At 46.4% G+C, this 23,231-nt stretch overlaps 1 protein-coding gene across 12 annotated transcripts in view; it reads left to right on the top strand.

Moving 5' to 3' along the window:
* Positions 1 to 23,231, top strand: part of AK8 (adenylate kinase 8) — a 153,469-nt gene that overhangs the window by 74,239 nt on the left and 55,999 nt on the right. For 11 of the 12 annotated variants that reach the window (NM_001371771.1, NM_001371773.1, NM_001371772.1 and 8 more), the window contains one exon: positions 12,033 to 12,174. The exons of the other annotated variant lie outside the window; for it this stretch is intronic. In NM_001371771.1, coding sequence (NP_001358700.1) covers positions 12,033 to 12,174 — 142 coding nt within the window. The remainder of the gene's footprint in view (positions 1 to 12,032; positions 12,175 to 23,231) is intronic. 12 annotated transcript variants of the gene reach the window in all.

Here is a 23,231-nt window from a genome sequence, read left to right as displayed (position 1 = left end):
GTTTGTCAACCAGAAGCTGGCTCTGAGGTTTCCTGTGCAAGGGAACTTGGCACAGCCTCATCGGACATAGAGGGAGGGAAGCGGGGACCACGCCCTGCAGCTTCACACCTGTCGCTGCTGCTCTGGGTGACAAGGGCACACCCGACAGAAGAAGCAAGATGGGAGCAGAGGGACACGGGAGGGGGAGAGGCGAGGGAAGAGACTTCCTGACATACAGAGGGATGTACCTGCTCCCACCCCCCTCCCTGGGAAGAGCCTGTGGAAGCCAGGGGATGCGGGAGGCAGGGGAAGGGGAACTCCTTCTCCTCACCCCTCACTGCAGACCTCTGATTTACCCCATCCACGATCTTGATTGCAGGACTCTGACCTCCCCCCAGCCTTTGGTTGGTTTTTACTGGGAGATGAGATGGCCTCATCTGGGACCTCCCTACCCCAGGATCCCCCTGTTTCTGCTCACGCTGTCTGCTCGGCCGGCTGCTTCAAGGGCTGAGGAGTCAGCTCCCGCAGGGCTCATGGTAGGAGCTCAGCTAGTTTAGTGGAAGAGCAAGCCTGTGGCAGTTGACCTGGGTCCCTGTGGTGTGGACAATCCCAGGGCCCAGATGCTGCCCTCTGCTGCCTGCATTTCTATTCGGGTGAGGTCCCTCTCCATGGGCAGCCCCAGTGGCTTCAGAGAATTAGTCTTTTTTTTTTTTTTTTTTTTTTTGAGATGGAGTCTCACTCTGTCCCCAGGCTGGATCGCAGTGGCGCGATCTCGGCTCACTACAACTTTCGCCTCCTGGGTTCAAGCGATTCTCCTGCCTCAACCTCCTGAGTAACTGGGACTACAGGCGCCCACCACCACGCCCGGCTAATTTTTGTATTTTTAGTAGAGATGGGGTTTCACCATATTGGCCAGGTCTCCATCTCTTGACCTCGTGATCCGCCAGCCTCGGCCTCCCAAAGTGCTGGGATTACAGGCGTGAACCACCATGCCCGGCCCAGAGAATTAGTCTTGAAGGAACAAAGAGGAGACAGGTCACAGGGGGCAGCATGCAGCCTGAAGGATTTCTAGAAGGGAGGCAAGTGACTGTCACTCCCAGATGGGAGGGGCCGTGGCTCAGAATCACACAGACTTGGTTCCCATTCAGACTCTGCTTCCTCCCAGCTGTGCTCCTGGGCAAGCCATGCGCCCCCTCAGAGCTCCCTTCAGTTTTCCCATCTGTAAGGCGAGCTTTCCTAGGATCCCATTTGTTGGCTTGCTCTATATAAAGGGAATTGTGTCTGTAATTCACTAATTACTTACTATGGTCACTGGTTGTAATCACTGATTACTCACCATGATTATTATCAAGAATGGAGTTGCCATCGTCATCATCTTAGTGGTAGTAATGGTACTCACAGCAAGTCCTGTCGGGTGTGAATATATTTTATATATGGGGGATTTTTTATATTTATTTATTTCCCATGACTGCTACCAGCTTTGGGGACCTAGTCCCTGCGGTAACTGGGAACTGACAAAGCTCCAGTTTGCATTACTCTGATGCTCCGTGATATGGTTTGGCTGTGTCCCCACCCAAATCTCATCTTGAACTGTAGTTCCCATAATCCTCACGTGTCATGGGAGGGACCCGGTGGGAGGTAATTGAATCTTGGGGGTGGTTACCTCCATGCTGTTCTCGTGATAGTGAGTTCTCACAAGATCTGATGGTTTTATAAAGGGCTTTCCCCCGCTCTGCCCCTTCGCTCTGCACCTCTCCTGGCTGCCGCTATGTGAAGAAGGACGTGTTTGCTTCCCCTTCTGCCATGATTGTAAGTTTCCCAAGGCCTCCCCAGCCTTGCAGAACTGTGAGTCCATTAAACCTCTTTCCTTTATAAATTACCCAGTCTTGGGTATGTCCCCCAAGTATCTCTTGTAGCCTAACAAGCTACCCCCCAATTTAATGGCATAAAATGACGCTGAGTTTATTATGCTCCTGATTTAGTGGGTCAGGGTTTGGGGCAGGACATGGCAAGGAGGTCTCGACTCTGCTCTGTGCTGACTTGGGCTTAGGTGGGATGCCTTGAACTGCCTAAGAGAGCTGGGCTGGCTCACCCGGGGATTTACATCTGGATCTCAGTTCTGGCGTCAGCTTGATTCCTTGGTTTTTCTCCACGTTGCATCTGCAGGGATAGTGTGTCCAAGACGGATTCTTCATCGCCATGCCCGGTGCCTGGGAGGGCACGCTTGGAATGGCTGGGGCTGGCCAGGCATCTTCCCTCCTCACAGCCTCTCCGTGGGGCTGGCTTCACCTGCCTTCTTACTTGGTGTCTGGCTGCTCCTGGCACAAGCACTCCAGAGAGTTCAAGGGCGGCAGTGGTTGGGGTGGAAGGTGGGGCCAGCGGCCAGGCATCCCATGACTTCACCACAGACACCCCAGGATACACTTCTGTCTGAATCTGTTCACAGAGCTTGTCACTGGGGCCAGCCCAGGTTCCAGGGAGGGGATTGAGACACCGCCCCCCTCCCGCCCCCTGCCCTGGGAGGAGTAGCAAAGAAGGCGTGGCCATCTTTAATCTCCCACACCACACCGGGGAAGGCTTGATGTGAACATTTTAGTTTTGTTCAGGATGGGCTGCACCACGTGCCTGGGAGGCAGCCACAGCCTAAGCAGCCCTCAGGAGCTGGATCCCCAGGCGACATCGGGTGCCACACAGGGGCCTACCAATACCTCCGTGGCTTTGGAGCCCAATTTTGTCCCCATGAAGAGGAGGAAGCCTTGGCTAGGAGGTAAAATGAGTCGCCCAAAGGCAGGCTGCAAGTGGAATGCAGAGCGCAGGGCAGAGTTTGGGCCTCTAGTCCTCATCGTCACAGTGCTCGTCCTCCTAAAAGTCAGGTGGCAGCAAGCAGCCCCAGAGCTGGATTGGCTGGATGCAAATCCAAGCTCCACTACCTGTGAGCTGTATGGCCATGGGCAAGTCACTTCCTCTTCCTGTGCCTTAGTTTTCTAATCTGTAAAATGGGATACTGTGACTACTTCTTTCATAGGGAGAAAACTACATGAATTAATATTTGTATTAGAACAAAGACATGCTTAGAACAGGGCCAGGCTCATCATATGCACTGTAGCATACATGCTTGGTGAGTCAATATACTATCATATCTTTTCCCTCCCAGAAAACTGGGCTCATGGTTCTGTTTGCTGCTGACTTTCTTCTCCCAGATTTCGTGGGCTATGGCATCCTTGCTGCCCTTGAGATGTGGGAGAAAAAACTGGTTCTAAGCCCTGAATTCATTAAAATGGAAGGAAAATCGTGTTCCTTAAATGCTTTGATCTGCAGTGTACACTTAGTGAATACATCACTCTTTAAAATAATCCAGTTCACATGCAGACTGGCCGACCTCTGCTCATTTTCCCAGATACTTTCATATTCCATTGAAAGATGTAAAAATGTACTTTAAAATAAAAATTGTCAAATCATTCTGCACAGTGTGGCTAGCCGAGCATTTCCAATAGAGAAGTTTTACTAATTTGCTAAGTGATGTACCAGTTGTTTATAGAAGAATGTCTATTTTTGAATGGTCTCTTTTGTCACCTAAAACTTCATTTGAAAGGGACAAACTGGCCAGGCGTGGTGGCTCATGCCTATAATCCCAGCACTTTGGGAGGCCGAGGCAGGCAGATCACCTGAAGTCAGGAACTCAAGACCAGCGTAGCCAACATGGTGAAACCCCATTTCTACTAAAAATACAAAAAAAATTAGCCGGGCCTGGTGGCGCACTTCTGTAATCCCAGTCACTCACGAGGCTGAGGCAGGAGAATCTCTTGAACTCAGGAGGTAGAGGTTGTAGTGATCCGAAATCGCGCCACTGCACTCCAGCCTGGGCGACAGAGCGAGACTACTCCGTCTCAAAAAAAAAAAAAAAAAAAAGGACAAACTGAAATATTCACTGTTGGGCATCTCTGCCCCTCAGGTAGCTGTGTCAATGCCGTGTGGGCACCTCAGTCTTGTCTTTGCCTTTTGCCTGAGTAGACATGGTAAAGAAGAGAGTGACAGAAAGTGGGTGGCCCTCTCCAAGGGAGGAGGGGCACAACATGGCCTCCTAGTCTGCAGGGCACCCAGGGCTGATGTACTGACTTCTCTGGTCTTGAAAGAAAATCCAGTATTAACACATTGTTATTTCCTGGCGCCATTGTCTGCCAGGCAATTTTAAACGTTGTTAAGCAGTAGAGATATTAGAGTAGAAAGGTTGGCGTCTAAGAAAACCATGGAAGGCATCTGTTTCATCTCCTACTTGGGGAACCAAGGCCCGGCCAGATGGGGGTTTGTCTGGGGCAATTGACTTGAGTTTACCAAAGAGCAAGCTAGATCCAGTGGCCTTACCCTCCCTTAGGAATTGCAGGGTGCGGCCGATGGAACAATCCCAGTTTCTCCTCATTCTCTTCTCCAGGGTTTGGAAATGTTCTGTGCGTTGCTGGCGGCGTTCACTTGGGGGATGCAGAACCCATGTTTCACCAGCAGGTGGTAGTAAATAACAAACAAACGGCATCACCAACAGAAACACCTGGCGCCAGGTCCTGGCACTGGGGCGCTGCAGGGCCTTCAGGGCACGCAGGATTTCTGGTGACGGCAGCGAGACGGGCTTGCAGGCCCAGCTGCCGGGAATCAGTGCCATCCCGAGAGTGATGGCCTCCAGAGATGGGAGGCGTTCGGCTTTCCTTGAATTAAGTCAGGGCCTGGGCAAACCTCCCAGCAGCCTAGAGTAGAGCCCCTGGCGGGATGCGAGCCCCGCTTCTTTCAGGCACCAGGTTGTGTGAAATGGAAATTAAAAAACAAAACCAAAAGCAACCCCTTTTCCTCCTCCACAGTCCTGTTCCTTTTGTAAGATTCCCTGGACCTCCTGGGTCCTATTGGGATCCTTCAGGAGGGGCGGGACCCAGGGACCCAGGGACCACAGGAGAAAGAGAAGCAAATGCCAGCCTCCCCCATGAACACTGATGCTCATCTTGACATCAATTTCAAGGAGGGCTTGAAGAAGGAAAGAAGTTACACCGGGCAGTTTGAAGCGAATGTGAGGGATGAGGAGAGGCAGTGTGGGTGCGGTGTAGGTATGTAGGTGTGTTTGCTAGATGTGTTTGTGTAATGAGGGTGTGTGCTTCGTGTACTATGTGTGGATAGGTGGGTATACAGTATGTGTTGTGCACGTGGTGGGGTGTAGGGGTGTGGGGGTGTGTGGTGTGTGTGTGTGTGTGTTTGTAGCTGAGTGCATGAGCACATGTCTGTGTGTGTGCGTGCCTGTGTGTGTTGTAGTGTGTCAGGTGTCGTGTGTGTAGACATGTATGTAGTGTGTGGGGGCGTTTATGAGTGTGCATGGAGGGGTGACGTGTGCAGGGCATGTGCAAGGGTGTGTGGGGAGGCACTCAGCTCTTTCCTGTTTGCCCTAGGGTGCCAAGGAGGCTCACATGGCTTGTCGTGAGTCTAGCAATCAACCTTAGCATGTTTTTTATCTTTAAGCCACTGGCTGAAGGAGCTATTTCCTTCTCTCCACTTTTTGTCCTATCTTTATATGCCAGCCCCAGAAACCTTAGTGTCCCTCATATCTTCTCCCTCAACAATAACTGATGGGCAGAAAGCCAAGGTCCCTGCAGGGCTGGCTCTGCGGTGCGGACAGCAGGCGGCGGCGTGGCGCAGCAGGAGGGGCCTCTGGTGCCTGCTGGAAAACCGCAAGCTGGCCTGGGTGCTCTCTCCGAGCCCTTCCCTACTCACACCCATCAGCTCTGGAGCTGGATGTGACCGAGGGTGACTGAAGCCAGACCTGCAGCCCGGGAGGAGTCAGTGCTGCCCAGTTGCATCTCATGGGTGTCGGGACTCCTGTCCGGAGCCGTGGAACTGCTGTGCGGGAGGGAGCCCAATGGGATCCTGGGCCTTTAGACAGGACTCCTTCCCCTTCGAGACAGGAGGGTGGGACACGGGCCCGCGGTGGGGAGTGGAGGCCTGGGAGCATCCCACTTGCCACCATGGATCCCCATCTACCCCCATGCCAAGGGCCAAGCACACCCAGCCCCGCGGGGAATAAATGGATTGAGATTTTAATAACCTGGAGGTCAACTTGAGGACTGCCATCTTTTATGGAAGATCTTGAGAAAAAAAAAAAAAAAAACAAACGAAACCATGTGGTGTGGCCTTATGAAATAATGAGATACTCATATCTTGCAGTTGGCTAAATTTAGGGCTGACAGAACACTCCAGAGAGGTAACCCTTGGCGGTAGCTTTGTATGAAGGGTGAGATGTTAACTGTCAAGCCCAGAAATCAAGCCTGAGGCATCTGACTTAATGGTGAAAGACTTTAGACCGCACTGAAAAATCTCTGTCTGAGAGGAGGAGAAAGGGTAAATGGACAGCATTATCAAGAGGACTCGAAACTTCTGGCAGAGCACAGTGAACCAAGGAGCAGCTTGTTCTCAGCTTTGTGCTGAGCTGGCCAGTCAGACCATGTGGGGCTGGAAACGTGAGTCCATAGCTGGCAGGAAAATCCAAACAAGCCACAGCAAAACAGACACCGAGCCTCAGAGAGGCTGGGACAGGAGACATGGGTGGGTTTGGGGAATTTACACTAAAGGCAGGGTCTTCAGGGTTCACCCCTCACTCCTCAACCCTGCGTGCTGCCACTGAGGAGAGATGCTGACTGGGAAAGGTCGGTAGCCTCAGAGCAGCACCCAGTGGGGTCTGTTGCTTGTCTTGACCCAGATGGGAGAGCCCTACCAGGATCCAGGATCCCTGTGCGCTGGGAGAGGACCAGTGCAGTTCCTTAGCCACGCAGCCCCAGTGAGGAACTGTGAGCCAAAATGTGTTGCTGTTCCTTATAAAAGGTTAAAGGACTCGAACGAGGAGCTTTCGCAGGACTGCTAACACAGGCAGATGTGGGCAAGTGCCCGTGATGCCAGGCTTCTGGGCAGAGCTTCCGGAACTGGTGGAGTTACAGGACGGCTGGAGGCCACCCAAACTGCAGGTCCCCCAAAAGGGAGAGCCGCCCATGGCCTTCGGGGGAGATTGTGTCCTTTGTCACTTTAGGAACGGTCTCTCACAGGGGCCATTTCAATCTGTTTTAAGCATTAAATGGTTTCCTTTAAAAAAAAATCACATTTTTAGTGGAAAACGTTAAACACATCTAAAAAGCAGAGAGAATAGAATAATGAACCTGTGGGAGCCATCGCTAGTATAATGAACCTCACGTGCTTGTGGCCACCCTTGTTGCATCTAGAACCACCCTCCCCTACCCCAGAGACCCCTCCCAACAAACCCCAGGTGCTAGTGCTCATTCTTTTGGCTGCATATTTAATTCACGAGTGGGTGATCACGTAGAGATGAATGGAACGACTGAGAGGAAGCGTCTCCCTTGGTTATTTTCTGTTGCCGCAGGACCTGATTCAGTGCTTGGTGAGAAAAGTCCTTAAGTTCTCTGGCCCATGAACGCTTGAGGAACTAAAGAACTTCCTGGGTTTTGGAAATGGTTCCCTTTTTTCCTTCCCTCCCTCCCTTCCTTCCTTCCTTCGTGTTTATTAGATGCTTTCCGTGGGCCCAGTACTGTGCCAGGTGCTGGGGTATAGCAATGAGCCTGACCCTACTGGGGGGATCCCTGCTTTCATGGGGTGGGCATTGGGGTGGGAATGCAGGTATTAAGTGGATACTACATCAGTTGTTACTGATGTGCGCTTGTGATGAGCCCTTCCAGGAAGTGCTGGCTGCAGAGCCTGTGTTTCCTGATTCCTGCAGAGAGGGGTTTGTTTGGGTTTTGGCTCAAAGTGGGAACCAGCGTGAGCATTCCCTTTCTTCCTCAATCTTTTGGAAATTTGGCCCTCCCTGCCTCCGACATCCCCAGCACTTCCTACTTCTGTGACCTCTGCTTTCCTGCCAGGTTTGTGTTGCATTACATCCGGGTGCCCTCTCACCTCCACCACCCTGGGCTCCATGAGCAAGGGCTTGAGTCCGATTCATGGAGCGTGAAGTGGCGGCCACCCTTCCCCCTCCCTCTGTGTGTGTGTGTGTGTGTGTGTGTGTGTGTGTGTGTGTGTGTGTGTAGCATGTATGTATGTGTATATATTAATATAGTCACATATGAATATATGTTTAAATTAGACCATGTATACAAGCCGTTTATTTACCTGCTTTTTTCTCATTCTGTCATAGACTTCTGCCTCGACCTGTCTATATTAACTTTGCAAGTTAATATAGAGATTGTTTTTAAAAGGTTGTCTAATATTCTATTGCAGAGATGTACCTTCTTTGATTTAATCTGTCCTCTATTGATGGACATTCTAGATCATTTCCAGTTGTCACTATTGTAAACAACACTGAAATGGACATCTTTGTATACACATCTTTTTCCCCTCTTAGGTTCAAGTTCTTAGAAATAGGATTGCTGGGTCAAAAGACATGTACATTTTAAATTTTGATGCAAGTTGGGAAATTCTCTCTAGAAATCTTTGTCAACTAACAGAAAAAACAAAAACAAAAACCTCATTGTATTTCTATCTGGCCTTCCATTTTTCCCTCGAGTCAGATTTCTCCTCAGTTGAGAAACTTTGTATTGGTTCGTAAGTGGCCAATGTGAGGGACTCAGGGGCTCCAGGCCATTGGGTAATGAGGCAGCAGAACAGTTGGGGGTGTTATGGGCCGGGGATCAGGGTCCTATCCCAGCCTGATCACCAGCTGGCTAGATGACCTTGGGCGGGTCACTTAAACCACAACCTCTTTGGGCTTCAGTTTCCTAACTTTGAAACAAGAGGTCAATGGGATGACCTTCCAGGCCCTCAGAAAGCTGTGGCTCCAAAGGTCAGACCACCTACAGTGCAGCTGGGTTTCCAAGCCATACTTGATTATTAGAGATGACACTCAGAAAATATTTGGTCCAAATAATTCTCACCGCTAAACAATGGAGGCCTTAGTGGGCCTGGATTATTAGCGGGATCCACCATTCTGATCTCAGCCAAATGCGGCCTCCTTAGTAGCCGTCCTAGGCCCGGTCAAACCATCAGCCTCCCATCATTTGGTTGATTTTCTTCACAGTACCCATGACTCTTAGAAATGGTTATTTGTTACCTGGGTAATGTTTGTCTCCCCGAGACAGCGTGAACTTCAGGAGCCCGGGGGCCTTGGCAGTCAGGCTTGCTGCGTAGACCGTATCCCATGTCCAGCACAGTGCCTGGCACAGCCTAGATGGTCAGCAACTACCCACTGGGTGAATCGTGGGGATAGGATTATTTCTGTATTGGTTTCTTCTTTCCGTGAAAATATCTGTAAATATTAAGGGTAGACCTGGACTGGAAGGCTCTATGGCAGATTCTTACCCTACATTGTTTTAAATCGGTATTTATTCATCCTGGCAAGAAAACACAAGGTCTCTGGATCAGAGGACAGACCAAATTCTTTCACACAGTAATCTCAGAGCTGGCTCCCCACGCCCCAGTTCCTCACAGGCAATGTGGAAAGAGCCAAGTGCACCCCGAGTGTACAGGGGGTCTATAGCAGGAGGGGAGCCCCAACACTGTGACTCTTGGAGCTTATGCAAGACAACATGCCAGCTCCCTCCCGAGCTTTACTCTGGAAGGAACCGACTCTGACTCCGACTCCTTCTGGGGAGAGGAGGAGGAGGTCACTAGGTTTACAGCCCTTTGAATGTAAACAAATGTCTCGAGGCAGAGGTCCCTAAGTCTCTCTGGAGGTCTCTGTCTTTAACTTCCAAGGCTGTTCTTAATCTGTCATCCTTTATCCCAGGTGCCAACAGTCTTTGCTGGCACGCCCTGACCACAGGCAACCGTGAAAATATTCGTGAAGCATCACTTCCCCACACACATCTCCTGAATTGAAAAGTAATAGCCACCACCTTTGAGTGTCGGCTGTGTGCCAGAATCGTAAATGCGGTGTGAGCCGGTCACAACAGGTCCTCTTATCCTTTCAGCAGATAGGAAGCTGACGCTCAGAGAGTGAGAGACTGCCTGGAGATGAGGCAGCAAGAAAGGGAGGAGCTGAGATGAGACCTGGATTTGTGAATGCCCCAAGCCCATGTTCTGTCTACAACCTGGCTTCCCCAAAGTCTGGTCAAGTTGATTTTAACAGAGTTGATTACTTTTGAAATATTTGAAAAAGAGAAGCCTTCTATTTATTCAACACCTACTATGTGCCAGACATCTTTCTAGGCAGGGAAAAATGGGAGAGACATGGTTCTTTGTTATTATGGGACCCATCCATGAAAGAGACGCAGACATTAAAGAAAGAATCACCCAGAGAGAAGTATCTTTGTGATAACAAGGGTGGCAAGTGAGGGAGGATGAGAAGTGCAGGCTGGGGGCTGTCCTCAGAGACTTCCCTGGGGAGGGAACATCACACCGTGGCCCTGAGGCTGAGTTTGAAGGCTGGCCCAGGCAAGATGTGGGAGAAGGGTGTTCCGGATGGAGGAGGTGGCACGTTCGAAGGGAGGTGCAAGCTGGCAAGATTCACCTGGGAGGAAGGCAGGGCACAGACCTTGCCTTGGAAAGGAGACTGCTCTTTATCCTCGGAGCACTGGGGAGCCCCTGCAGGTTTGAAGCAGGGGAAGGGATGGGATTCGCTGAAGTGACTTCTCATTCATGCTAGATAGCCAGATGTTCTCGTTAAAGCAAAAACCCTTTTCTGCTCTTTCCTAGGGACTGGGGAAGAAAGGCTGAAGGGCATGAGAGAGAACACATTCAGGGAAATGCAGACTGCTTAGAATTAGGGTTATGGTTTTTTGGTGACAAGGGCAGCAACCCAGCAAGTCACGGCCACAGGGAAAACGGCTGGCAGTGATTTTTCTGCATCTCTTGCTTCCACGTTCACCTGGCTGTCAGCCTGGGGGGCCCTGTGGAAGGTTTCAAATGTGTGCTTCAGGCCCGCTTGCCAGACCCCCGGGCAGTCGGTAGGAGGGTAACCAGGCAGCTTCCAGAGAAACTGCCAAACTCACTGCCACCACACCCCTAGGAACCAGTTCCAATGGGGCCACAGTCATAGCAAACAATGGTAATATTTACCAAGTATTTCTGGAAAAATGAGTGCAAAGTGCAGGAAACACAGTGCAAATTGCTAGAACGCAGTACATTAGCAACATAGGACATTTAATGAGTCTGGGAAGAGACGTATGAATTTCAGGAAAATGTCAATTGCCGCAATGTAAACAAGAGGCTTCTCAATATCTCATTCTCCTTAGGACTTTATTTCAGTCTTTGGTTATAACTAGTTCTGTGATTCTTGGGAGAGACTTCGTTCTAAGCATCAAGGATGGGAGAATTGGAGAATTTTGGGAAAGGGGAGTGGGCGTTGCTAGCGCATCACAGACTGGCAGAGAGCTTTGGGGGCGCTGGCACAGTCCCACTTGAGGAAAACTGAAACTGCAGCTGGAGCTGGTGCGCTTCCAGGAAAAGTGTTTGCTGCAAAAACTGGGCCCATAGTGGTTGCTATGGTCTGAATGTGTCATCCCAAAATTCATATGTTAAAATCTAATCCCCAAGACAATGGTGTTAGATGGGACCTTTGGGAGGTGATGAGGTCACAAGGCAGGGGCCCTTGTGGATGGGATTAGTGCCCGTATAAGGGAGACCCCAGAGAGACTTCTCACCCCTTCCACCAGGTGAGGATGAAGCAAGAAGGCACCATCTGTGAACCAGAAAATAGGCCCTTTCCAGGCACTGAATCTGACTTGATCTTAGACTCCCCAGACACCCAGTTTACGGGATTTTGCTATAGCAGCCCAAATGGACTAAGACAGGGGGACAATCTGCTCACATCTCACTGGGTTGCAGGTGGGGATGGTGTCGTGTCCAGGAAAGGGAAAGACCGAGGTCAAGGTCAGCCAGTGCATTTCCCATCTCACGCAGCCCCGTTGCTGGGACCGAGGAGGGACCTGGGAAATAGGCACTGACAACCTTGTCCAAGTGGTTCCAAGTGGCTCCACCTAGACCCACTTCTTCAGCAGCTCAATCTATGGCCAAGTAAAGTTAGGAAGCCCAGGACCCATGGGCTGCCGGCCAGCAGGGTACTCACTTGCCCCCCTTCTCTGCAGTTCCTGACAGCCTCCTCATGAAGGTGCTGAGCCAGCGCCTGGACCAGCAGGACTGCATCCAGAAAGGCTGGGTGCTACACGGCGTCCCGCGGGACCTCGACCAGGCACACCTGCTGAACCGCCTGGGCTACAATCCCAACAGGTGAGCTGCCCCAGCCAAGCCAGCAGCCCTGGCCAAGCCCCTGGGCACCCCCTCTCCAGGGCTCAGCTGAAGGGGTCCAGGTTACACAAGCCTTCACGTGTTCCTGAAGTGGAATGTCTCCTGGTCATCCCCATTCCCACCCATCCCATCTGCCCGGTGGACTAGGAGTCAGGCTTGGGTTCAAATCCTGGCTTTCACCCTCCTTGATGGACCCTCATCTGTAAAACAGTAATAAATACCAGTCTTGCCTTCCTTGGGGAATTGTTATACAAATCAATGGATGTTTTCTTCTACTATTTTTACAGTTTCATTTTTATATTTAAATCTTTGGTGCAGCTGATATTTATTTGGATGTGAGTAGGCAGTATGAGTCCCCCTTTTATTTTTTCCCCAAATGGTTAACCATTTGTTCAGAGTGTTGAATATCACTGGATGTTCTGTCTTCCCTCTACTAGTTTGAACTTGAGAGCTCATCACAATTGTATATATTGTGGAGAGCAGTGAAGCCCACCAAAGTGAAAGCAAGCAAAGGCTATTTAGTCTGAGCTTGCAATAGCAAGGGGTCAGCCACCATTGCTTGGCGTTTTGGCAGAGGCTCACAGGCAGGCAGCGGAGGTGACAGCATTCTAGTGGAAGGTGGGAAAGGCTTCGGTTCTACCATGCCCCAGTTGGAGGCTGTTGGCTTGGGGAAGCTGGGTGGGTTAACTAGAGGCGGGGCCTCCTGTGTGACTGGTTAAGGGAACATATTTGGCTTTCTCTGGTTGGTCATACCTTGCAAATGGTGGCAAAAATGAGGGAAGCTGTCAATTCCTGATCAAGTCCTGGTCCTTTGGGGCTGATTGCTGCAGAGATTGTGGTCTGACACCCCGGGCAGGTTGCTGCAGGTTGTGGGTTCCAGTTCTCTTTTTATATATGGTCTGACCATCATCAAACTGTGTGTTTAGTCTCTCAATATACTGGGCCTGTTTCTGAACTTTCTCTTTTCTGAGTGTCTATTTCTGCAGTAGTACCTCTCTGTTTAACTACTTTACTTTTGTCATATCTGTATTTCAATAGTCAATGCAGGACAAGGCCCTCTCATTGATCTTCTTTATTGTCTATTTTATATATTTATTATTCCAAACGAGCACTATAATGATTTTATCATGTACAAAAAGAAACTGCCATTGAAATTTTAGCTGGAATTGCCTTAGATTTTCAAATTGATCTGTGATATGGTTTGGCTCTGTGTTCCCACCCAAATCTCATCTTGAACTATAATCCCCACATGTTAGGGAGGGACCTGGTGAGAGGTGATCGGATCATGGGGGCGGTTTCCTCCATGCTGTTCTCATGATAGTGAATGAGTTCTCACGAGATCTGATGGTTTTAAAGTGTGGCACCTCCCCCTTTGCTCTCTCTCTGTCTCTCTCCTGCTGCCATGTAAGATGTGCCTTGCTTCCCCTTTACCTTTTGCCATGACTGTAAGTTTCCTGAGGCCTCCCCAGCCATGTGGAACTGTGAATCAATTAAACCTCTTTCCTTTATAAATTACCCAGTCTCAAGTAGTTGTTTATAGCAGTGTGAAACGGACTAATACAATCCGTTACAGTTTGACATGGATATATTCTGTCTTTGCTTCTAGTGAAAATATCAACACTTCCTTGGGTCTCGCATTTTTTATTTTATTTCTAGGTATATTATCTCTTGTTCTTCTTACTGATATTATAATAAGATATTTTCATTCCATATTTTCTAAGGGGGTTTTTCAAGAGTATACAAAAGACATTGATTTTGGCTTACTTATTTTATACCCCAGCCACCTTCTCAAACCCTCTTACTGTTTTGGATAGTTTTTCAGTTGATTCTCTTGGGTTTTACAGGTAGATGACCATGTCATCTACAAATACTCATCCTTTTGCCTCTTCCTTTTCAATATTTATACTTTTCATTTTACTCTTGTTGGGCGGTACTTTCAGAACAGGGTGTCATGATCGACACGGTGGTTTTTCCTGACCATAAGGGCTGTCCTGGTACTGCTGACATTAAGGTGCTACTGGCTTTTGGTTTGAAGTGCATACAATTTGTATGAAGTTAAAGAAGTTGGCCGGGCACAGTGGCTCACGCCTGTAATCCCAGCACTTTGGGAGGCCGAGGTGGGTGGATCATGAGGTCAGGAGATCGAGACCATCCTGGCTAACATGGTGAAACCCGTCTCTACTAAAAAATACAAAAAATTAGCTGGACGTGGTGGCGGCCGCCTGTAGTCCCAGCTACTTGGGAGTCTGAGGCAGGAGAATGGTGTGAACCCAGGAGGCGGAGTTTGCAGTGAGCTGAGATCACGCCACTGCGCTCCAGCCTGAGCGACAGAGTGAGACTCCGTCTCAAAAAAAAAAAAAGAAGTATAGCTCCGTGATTTAAAATCTCTAGTTAATGTTTATCAAGAGCTTTTCAGCATCCTTTAAAATTGTTTTTCCTTTTTGACACATTGGTATTATAAATTATGTTAATATTAGTAAGCCAGTCTTTTGTTCCTATAGTAACTGGTTTGGTCATGGCATATTGTTCGTTCATGGAATATTATTCTACTGCTTGTGGCAGATAGAATTTTGACCCTTAGGACCTTTGCCCCCTGCTGTCATGCGTCTGAATATTACATTACATGACAAAAGGGACTTTGCAGATATACTTAAGATTACTAATCAGTTCACCTTAAAATAGAAAGGTCATCCTGGACTATCTGGGTGGGCCCAGAATAATCACACAAACCCTTAAAAGCAGAGTTTCCTCCTGACTGAGGGCAGAAGAGGAAGTCAGAGAGATTTCTAAGCATGACACAGCATTGGTGGCTCAAAGATGGGGGCCGTGGAAAATGTGAGAAGAAATGAATTCAACCAACAGTGAGCCCCAGGTGAGAACTACAGCTCTGGCTGATACCTTGACCTAAGCCCAGTTAGACCCATACCAGATTTCTGACCTACAGAAACTGGGAGATAATAAATTTGAGTATCTTTTTTTCTTTTCTTTCTTTCTTTTTTTTTTTTTTTTTTTTTTTTTGTGAGATGAGTATCACTCTGTCGCCCAGGCTGGAGTGCAGTGGCATGATCTCTGTTCACTGCAACCTCTGCCTCCCAAGTTCAAGTGATTCTCCTGCCTCCTCCTCCTGAGTAGCTGGGATTACAAGTGTGTGCCACCATGTATGGCTAATTTTTGTATTTTTATTAGAGACGGGTTTTACCATGTCGGCCAGGCTGGTCTCGAACTCCTGACCTCAGGTGATCCACCCATCTCAGCCTCCCAAAGTGCTTGGATTACAGGCATGAGCTACTGCACCTAGCCAAATTTGATTATCTTTTTTTTTGAGACAGAGTCTCGCTCTGTCTCCCAGGCTGGAGTGCATGGCGCGATCTTGGCTCACTGTAAGCTCTGCCTCCCGGGTTCACGCCATTCTCCTGCCTCAGCCTCCCAAGTAGCTGGGACTACAGGTGCCTGCCACCACGCCTGGCTAATTTTTTGTATTTTTAGTAGAGACGGGGTTTCACCGTGTTAGCCAGGATGGTCTCGATCTCCTGACTTTGTGATCCACCCACCTCGGCCTCCCAAAGTGCTGGGATTACAGGTGTGAGCCACCGCACCCAGTCCAAATTTGAGTATCTTTAAGCAGCTAAGTTTGTCATAATATGATATTGGCAGCACAAGGAAATTAACATGCTGTTGGATTGTATTGGCTACATTTTTTTTTGCATTAATATGCATCTATAATATGGATTAGAATTTTTCCACATTCTTGTGCTTTGTTAGGCTTTAGTATCAGTGATGTGAAAATTTCGTAGATTTTCTTTCTTTCTCCATATCTGAGAGAGTTTTTAAAACTCAGGCAGTAACTGTTTTTTTGGATCTGGCACTTTGGGGCAGAGGTAGCTTGTTAACAATTTGATTGATTTTGTTCAGGGTGTTTGGTCAATTCGAATTTCTCTCTTTTCTTGTGCAATTGGTCTCTTCTTAGAAAATCACCCCTTTCCCCTGTCTTTAAATATATTAACATAATTTGAATATCTTGTGCCACTAATTTTTATTGTGTTTCCTACAGTTTTGGCTTTATGTGTTTTGGTGCTATGTTATTTAGTGCATAAAGGTTTCTGTCAGCTATGTGTTCATTGTGAAATGTATTCTTGATGAAAGTGACCATCAGTGACAGACAGCTAATTATCTACCCCAACATTTATTCTAACTTTCCTCCTCAATAACAAAAGATCAATTTTCAGAGGAGTACTTTGGTGTCTGAAAATAAAAGATCCCATTTTCCAGTCTTCTTTACAGCTATATGGAGCCACAACACTAAGTTCTGGCTAATGAGATACAAGCATACAATTTTGTGGTTTTTCCAGGAAACCTGCTTTAAGGAATCTAACTCAGCTGGAAGGCGTTAGCTTTTTTTTGTTTTTCCTTTCCTTTCTTTTTGATTTTCCTGAAGTTAATAATCATCTTGCTTTTTCACTTGTCTAGTTTTCTTTGTACCTATTAGTTAATTATTTCCACATCTCATAATAGCCTTTCAGAACAATTTCCCACAAAGTCCATCATATTGTGTAATCTGTCAGTTTCAGGTTGTTGTTTTTTTTTTGGTCACTCCCATTCCTCTTCTGTTTGGACTGGTTTTTTTCTAGGCTTACTGCATAGTTGATCATCAGGGGCTTTTCTTTACTATAATCAGAGGAATTCCCCTTGGCTTTCTTTTGAGTTGGAGTCTCTACTTCCTGAGTTACACATCTTCCTTTTATATACCCCCTTGATTTGACAAAGCATAACCTCTAGTTGCTTCCCAAGTTAAAAAGATGATTTAAAAGCAGTGGACTGTTACACCGGAAACACATGTGTTCTAAATTGAAGAAGTCACCCTTTATGCCTGTACACAACAATCATTTTGGGATTGCCTTTCACTACTACACTGAAGATTCTCTTTACCCCTCTCCCATATTCGATATTTTATTTCTATATCACATGGCTTCCTTTTTCTTGGTTTACTACCTTGTTTTGGTTGAACACATCTATCAGTAACTTCCTGAGAAACAGTGTATGGGAGGTAAATTTTGGGGGCCCTACTATTCTATCTGAAAGTGTCTATTCTATCTTCATACTTGTTGGATAGATTGGCTGGGTGAGAAACTATAGGCTGGAAATGATTTTCCCGTGGAATTTTGAATTTCCAGTGTTGCTAAGAAGTCCAATGCCAATCTGATCCTGAGCCTTCATACGTGACTTTTTTCTTTCTGTGGAAGTTTGTAGGCTCTTCCTTTTGTCTCCAGGGTTCTGAAATTTCACAGTGAAATTTCATTATATCCTTGGTATAGGTCAGATTTACTCCACCGTACCAGAAATTAATCTTGAAACCTGTGTCCTTCAGTCCTGGGACATTTTCTTGAATTATTTTGTTAATGATTTTTTCCCCTTTTTTCTATTCTCTCTGAAACTGCTGTTATTTGGGTATTGGATCTTCAGGACTGGGCTTCTAAATGTTGTAAAAATATCTTTTTTCCCTTGTATTTTGTGTGTATGTGTGTGTGTGGTCAGTTGCTGCTTTTTGTTTTGTTTGGCTCTACTTTCTGGGAGATTTCCTCAACTTTCTCTTCCAACATTTTTATTGAATTCTAATTTCTGCTCTTGGGTTTGTTTATTTCTGTAATATTCAAGAGCTTTTTGTTTTCTGAATATTCCTTTTATAGTTTCTTGATCTTATTTCATGGTTTTTTTATCTCTTGAAAATGTTAATGACATATTTGATTTTGTTAGGAGGATGGGGAGATAGGCTTTTTTCCTTTTCCTTTCTGCATAACCAGTTTCTATTGAATTTTTGTTTGTCTTGGTCTTATTCTTTCTCAGCAGAGTCTTTTTTTACCCTTAGATGTTGAATTACCCTTGGTTGTTTGCTCACGTCTAAGAATGGGAGACTAAAAAGCGATTTGGAAGCTCTGAGTGCATGGAAAGAGCCCACAGGTTTAGTCTTCACTGTAGGGTGGTATCATTGGGGTGATAAAATTGGGCCATTTGTGCAGAACCCTCCCACCAAGTGTCAACATCTTTAGATCTTTTCCTCTGGGCTGCTCCGATTCCCCAGAGAGGACTCATGCAGTCTCCTGCTGGAGGGTAAAGGCCTTGCTGCCAGGACCCCCTCTCTGGGGGTCCAGGGGAGAAGCAGGACACTGGGAAGGGCAGGGGAGGGGTCTCACATACTGCATGCAGTTTGCATACTTTTACTTAATTCCCCTGTGTTTACCATAGACTCAGGCTCTCAACTGTGCTTGGCATTCTTCAGCCCAAAGAGCCTGTATTTTATCCTCTCTAGAGAATAAATGTTTAATTTCTTCCCAAGTGGAGGAGAGACATTCACTCAGCTGGGTGGAGTGAGGAAGGGATCTAGGACTCACTCTCTTCTGAAACAAATTTCAACCAAGCCCCCTTATTTTAGCCACCAGTTCCCAGGTGGCACCTGTGCCTGAGCCTTTTGAGGATTTTCTGGGGAAGATGAGGTTGATTCTCAGCTTTCCTACTACTGATTTAGGATTTGGCTTTCTGAGGCCGCCTCAGCTCGTTGCCTCTGGTTCAAGTCTGCTTTCCAGCATCGAAACCTTTGTCTGATTGCCTTCTTCTTCCCTGTTCTTTCTGTCCTTGTAGGTTAGGTTTTCAAAGTGCCTTTCCTATCGTTTTTCTGTGGGATTTGGGGAAGAAACAAAATCTGGTGCGGGTTTCAAGAAGCCATTTTTATCTGGAATTCAAACTCTGATTTCTTTGTTACATTTGCATGTTCCTAAGTTTTACTTTCAACTATTTTGCTTCTCTTATTTTTTGTTGATGACACAACTAAAAAGCTATATGGAAGCTCTGGATGCATGGGTGGAGCCCGTAGATGTTGTCTTCACTGTGGACAGAATGAAATTGGGTTTGATATTTTTTCTTCAATCTGAAATGACTTTTTCCTTGAATAGTTGAGTCTATCCCACTTATTTTTGCTTTTCTTACTTTATTTTGTGCTTCATTATGGTTTCCTTTGTTTTCCATCTTTTCTTTATGGGATGTGTTTTGAGTTTTGTTCTTGTTATTGTTAGCTTCTTACCTGCCCCACTTCCGTTAATTTAGAAGATAATCTGTTTATAGTTCTAATAGTCTCTTCAACACGACTTGATTAAACCTTATTTCTCAGTTTGTTGATTTTGAAATGCAGCAGAATATCTTGACCCCTTCATATGAAAGATGTCGGTTGGGCGTGGTGGCTCACGCCTGTAATCCCAGCACTTTGGGAGGCCGAGGCAGGTGGATCACGAGGTCCAGAGTTCAAGACCTGCCTGGACAATATGGTGGAACCCTGTCTCTACTAAAAATACAAAAATTAGCCGGGCATGGTGGTGGGCGCCTGTAGTCCCAGCTACTCAGGAGGCTGAGGCAGGGAACTGCTTGAACCCGGGAGGCAGAGGTTGCAGTGAGCCGAGAGCACGCCACTGCATTCCAGCCTGGGCGACAGAGCAAGACTCCATCTAAAAAAAAAAAAAAAAAAAGAGTATCCCACATGTACTGCCTCCTCATCCCCCTTCTCCAGCCATTCTCCATTTTGGGGGAGCCAGGGACAGACATATCCTGAAATTTTTCTGTGCCAGTCTATTATACACAGATTATTGTTTTTAATCAGTATTGATTAAGCTTTTCTTTCTAGAAATATAACAATTATATTCTGTTTTTAACTATAATTACTATACTTACAAAGTTTTTATTCTCTTTAAAACTGGATTAAGATTTCAACACCAGTTGTTTATATATTTCAACCTCTTCATTTATTAATTTTGATTTTATCTTTCATTTGAATGGATTATGTCTTTGATTCATTTTCAGCTAGGGTACATAGATACTAAACTTCCTGAATTTTTGCATACTTGAGAATGTCTTTCTGTTATTTTTACTTGTAAACAACATCTGGCAAAGAATTCTTTGATCATGTTTCTTTCTTTCTCTCCCCAAGCTCCTCCCCCGCCCTCAGTGTTCCAAATCCCTTCTGCACAGCCTCTGACATCTTGCCAGATGTGTTTCTCTTTCCTTCTCTTTCTTTCTTTCTCTCTTCCTTCCTTCCCTCCTTCCTTTTCTTTCTTTCTTTCTTGATGGAGTCTCACTCTGTCATCCAGGCCGGAATGGCGCAATCTCAGCTCCCTGCAACCTTCCCCTCCTGACTTCAAGCGATTCTCCTGCCTCAGCCTCCTGAGTAGCTGGGATTACAGATGTGTGCCACCATGCACAGCTACTTTTTGTATTTTTAGTAGAGACAGGGTTTCACCATGTTGGCCAGGCTGGTCTTGAACTCCTGACCTCAGGTGATCCACCCCCTCAACCTCCCAAAGTGCTGGGATTACAGGCATGAGCCACTGCGCCCGGCCTATGGATGTGTTTCTTTTGCCTGGGTGTTCGGGAGATCTCTCTGTCTCTCTGCCTCTGTCTGTGTCCCCTACCCCCTTCTCTTTCTCTTTAAGTTCATTTACAATCACCAGGCCATAGCTCAGTCTTGGTTCTCCTTATTACTTTTCTCTGGACATTAGGAACCCTTTCACTTACAGTATTTCAGGATGATTTTCTTCCAGTAGATATATTAATATTTTTCTGGTTCATTTGCTTGGTTTTCTTCTTCAGTAAGACCAATTATGTGTGTGTTAGATATTTATCATCAGCTTTTCATAATTCGGATTTTCTGCTGGTGGCTTTTACCTTACTCTTTTTGGTATTATTTTCTCCACTCTGACCTTCATGGTAACTGACTGTTTTCTGCTGTGTTTATTTCTTGCTGTTTTTCATTTGTTTTTTTGTTTCCATAATGCTTTTACTTTTCCCCTTAGGCATTTTTCCTTCATTTTGTGAGCTTTCTTTGCATCTCCTTTTTAAAAATCTCATCATCTTTTCTTTCACTTCCTATATCATGGAGTCCATTCTCTTTAAATTATTTAGAACATTCTGGTAAGGTTTTATCTAAAATGTTCTTATGTTTCCTGGAGTAATTCATTTTCTAACAGGTATTCATTGTCTCTCTCTCTTTTTTTTTTTTTTTAACTTTTATGCCCCTTTCCTTCCATTTTTTGGTAGCACCTATAACTGGGTCCCAAGATGGATATATTCTGTAAATCCTTTACCTTTGAATAGGCTGGTTGTTTGTCTAAGAATAGTGTGAGTTGGCATATTAGTTACCTATATTGCCATCATAAATTACCACTGACTTGGTGGCTTAAAACAACACAAATTTATTGTCTTCAAATTCTGTAGTTCTAAAAATCATGGCACTGCCAGGGCTGCATTCCTTCCTGGAGGCTCTAGGGCAAAATCCGTTTCCTTGCCTCTTCCACCTTCTAGAGGCTTCCACATTCCTTGGCTCACAACCCCTCCCACCATCTTCAGAGGCCGTAGTGCAACTCCCATCCTTCCTCTGTACTCATGTCTCCCTGAGACCAGCGCCGGGAAAGGGTCTCAGATTTTAAGGAGCCATGTGATTAGATTGGGCCTACCCAGATAACCTGAGATAATCTTACCATATCAACACAGTCCTTAACTTAATCCAATCTGCAAAGTTCCTTGTTCCTGGTAAGATAACCTATTCACAGAATCTGGGAATTAAGAGGTGAACATCTTGGAGTTGGGGGCAGGCATTATTCTGCCTTTCCCAAAGTTAGAATCTCCTCAACTCTGAATTATATCCCTAGAGTTTGGGCTACAGAGCTTCCCATTGGAAGACTGAAACCTGTTTAGGCCCAGGGCAGCGGGGATCTGATAGTGTTAACCTGAGCATCCTGTTTTACTGCCGTTATTCCTGTGAAATTCCAGGGACCAAAGTACCCAAAGGCTAAGTGTCCACCCTCTGTTCTTCCTAACATAGTTAATGCCACAGACGTGGTTAATGTCACAGCATCAGTTGCATAGCTTCTGTTTTTGTTTTTTTTTTTGAGACGGAATTTCGCTCTTGTTGCCCAGGCTGGAGTGCAATGGCACGATCTTGGCTCACTACAACCTCCGCCTTCCGGATTCAAGTGATTCTCCTGCCTCAGCCTCCCAAGTAGCTAGGATTACAGGCGCGTGCCACCATGCCCAGCTAATTTTGTATTTTTAGTAGAGACGGGGTTTCACCATGTTGGTCAGGCTGGTGTCAAACTCCTGACCTCAGGTGATCCACCCGCCCTGGGCTCCCAAAGTGTTGGGATTACAGGCGTGAGCCACTGCTCCCAGCCTGCATAGCTTCTTTGTGAGCGCATCAGCTATGTGAAGATGAAACGCACTGGGGAAAATGCAGAACAATCACTTTAAAGAAGGCAGGGGCAGGGTGTCATTAACAGGTCAGGGGAGAGAATCCTGTGCTGGTTTTCTGAAGCCTGGGGGGAAAAATGACTGTTTTACTTACCGAGCCCAAGCACCAGTACTACAGGACCAACACAGGGAGGAAAAGCACACAGGAGGAATATTCAAGAACCGATTTGATTTAGGGCAGGGTTGCAAGGAAACACTCTTCCGTTCACCACGGAGTGAAAATCACGTTCTAAAGACTTAGTAAAGAATGCCAATTTAATTTATTTGACCCTAGGGCGAAGGACAGGCAGGAACAAAAAATCTTGATTTACAATGTAGATTTAATCATATGCTGCTGTTGATCATCCTTTCGTAGTCATTGAAGGTATATTTTCCTTCCTCCTTTCTCATCTCTGTCTCTTCCATCTCCAGCACCTTAGCTTTCAGTTAAACATTTTTATGATTAACTCAGAAAGTAATCTTAGCCGTAAACCTTCAAGTTCAGATACAGGCTAAGAAAGAGAGAAATATTCTAAAATGAATCCACCTAGCACCAGGATGACTATCAGGACTGTAATTCTGGTTCGGTTGTGATGCCAATTATAAAACACTCTAGCTGTGGTGTTGCTGTTTTTGACACCAGGAGGAAATCTTGACAGAATTATAGCCTAGAAATCAATCTGGGAATACGATACAGAAATCTATAATTCAGATATGAAAATCTACAAAGGCTCTTTTTTTAAGGAAGGTTCAATGAAATTAGATTAAAATAAATT

This window comes from Homo sapiens, chromosome 9 (assembly GCF_000001405.40).
Source record: "Homo sapiens chromosome 9, GRCh38.p14 Primary Assembly".
NCBI classification, from domain to species: Eukaryota; Metazoa; Chordata; class Mammalia; order Primates; family Hominidae; genus Homo; species Homo sapiens.
The sequence above is the reverse complement of the archived record's forward strand: the minus strand, read 5'-3'. Positions and strand labels throughout refer to the sequence as shown.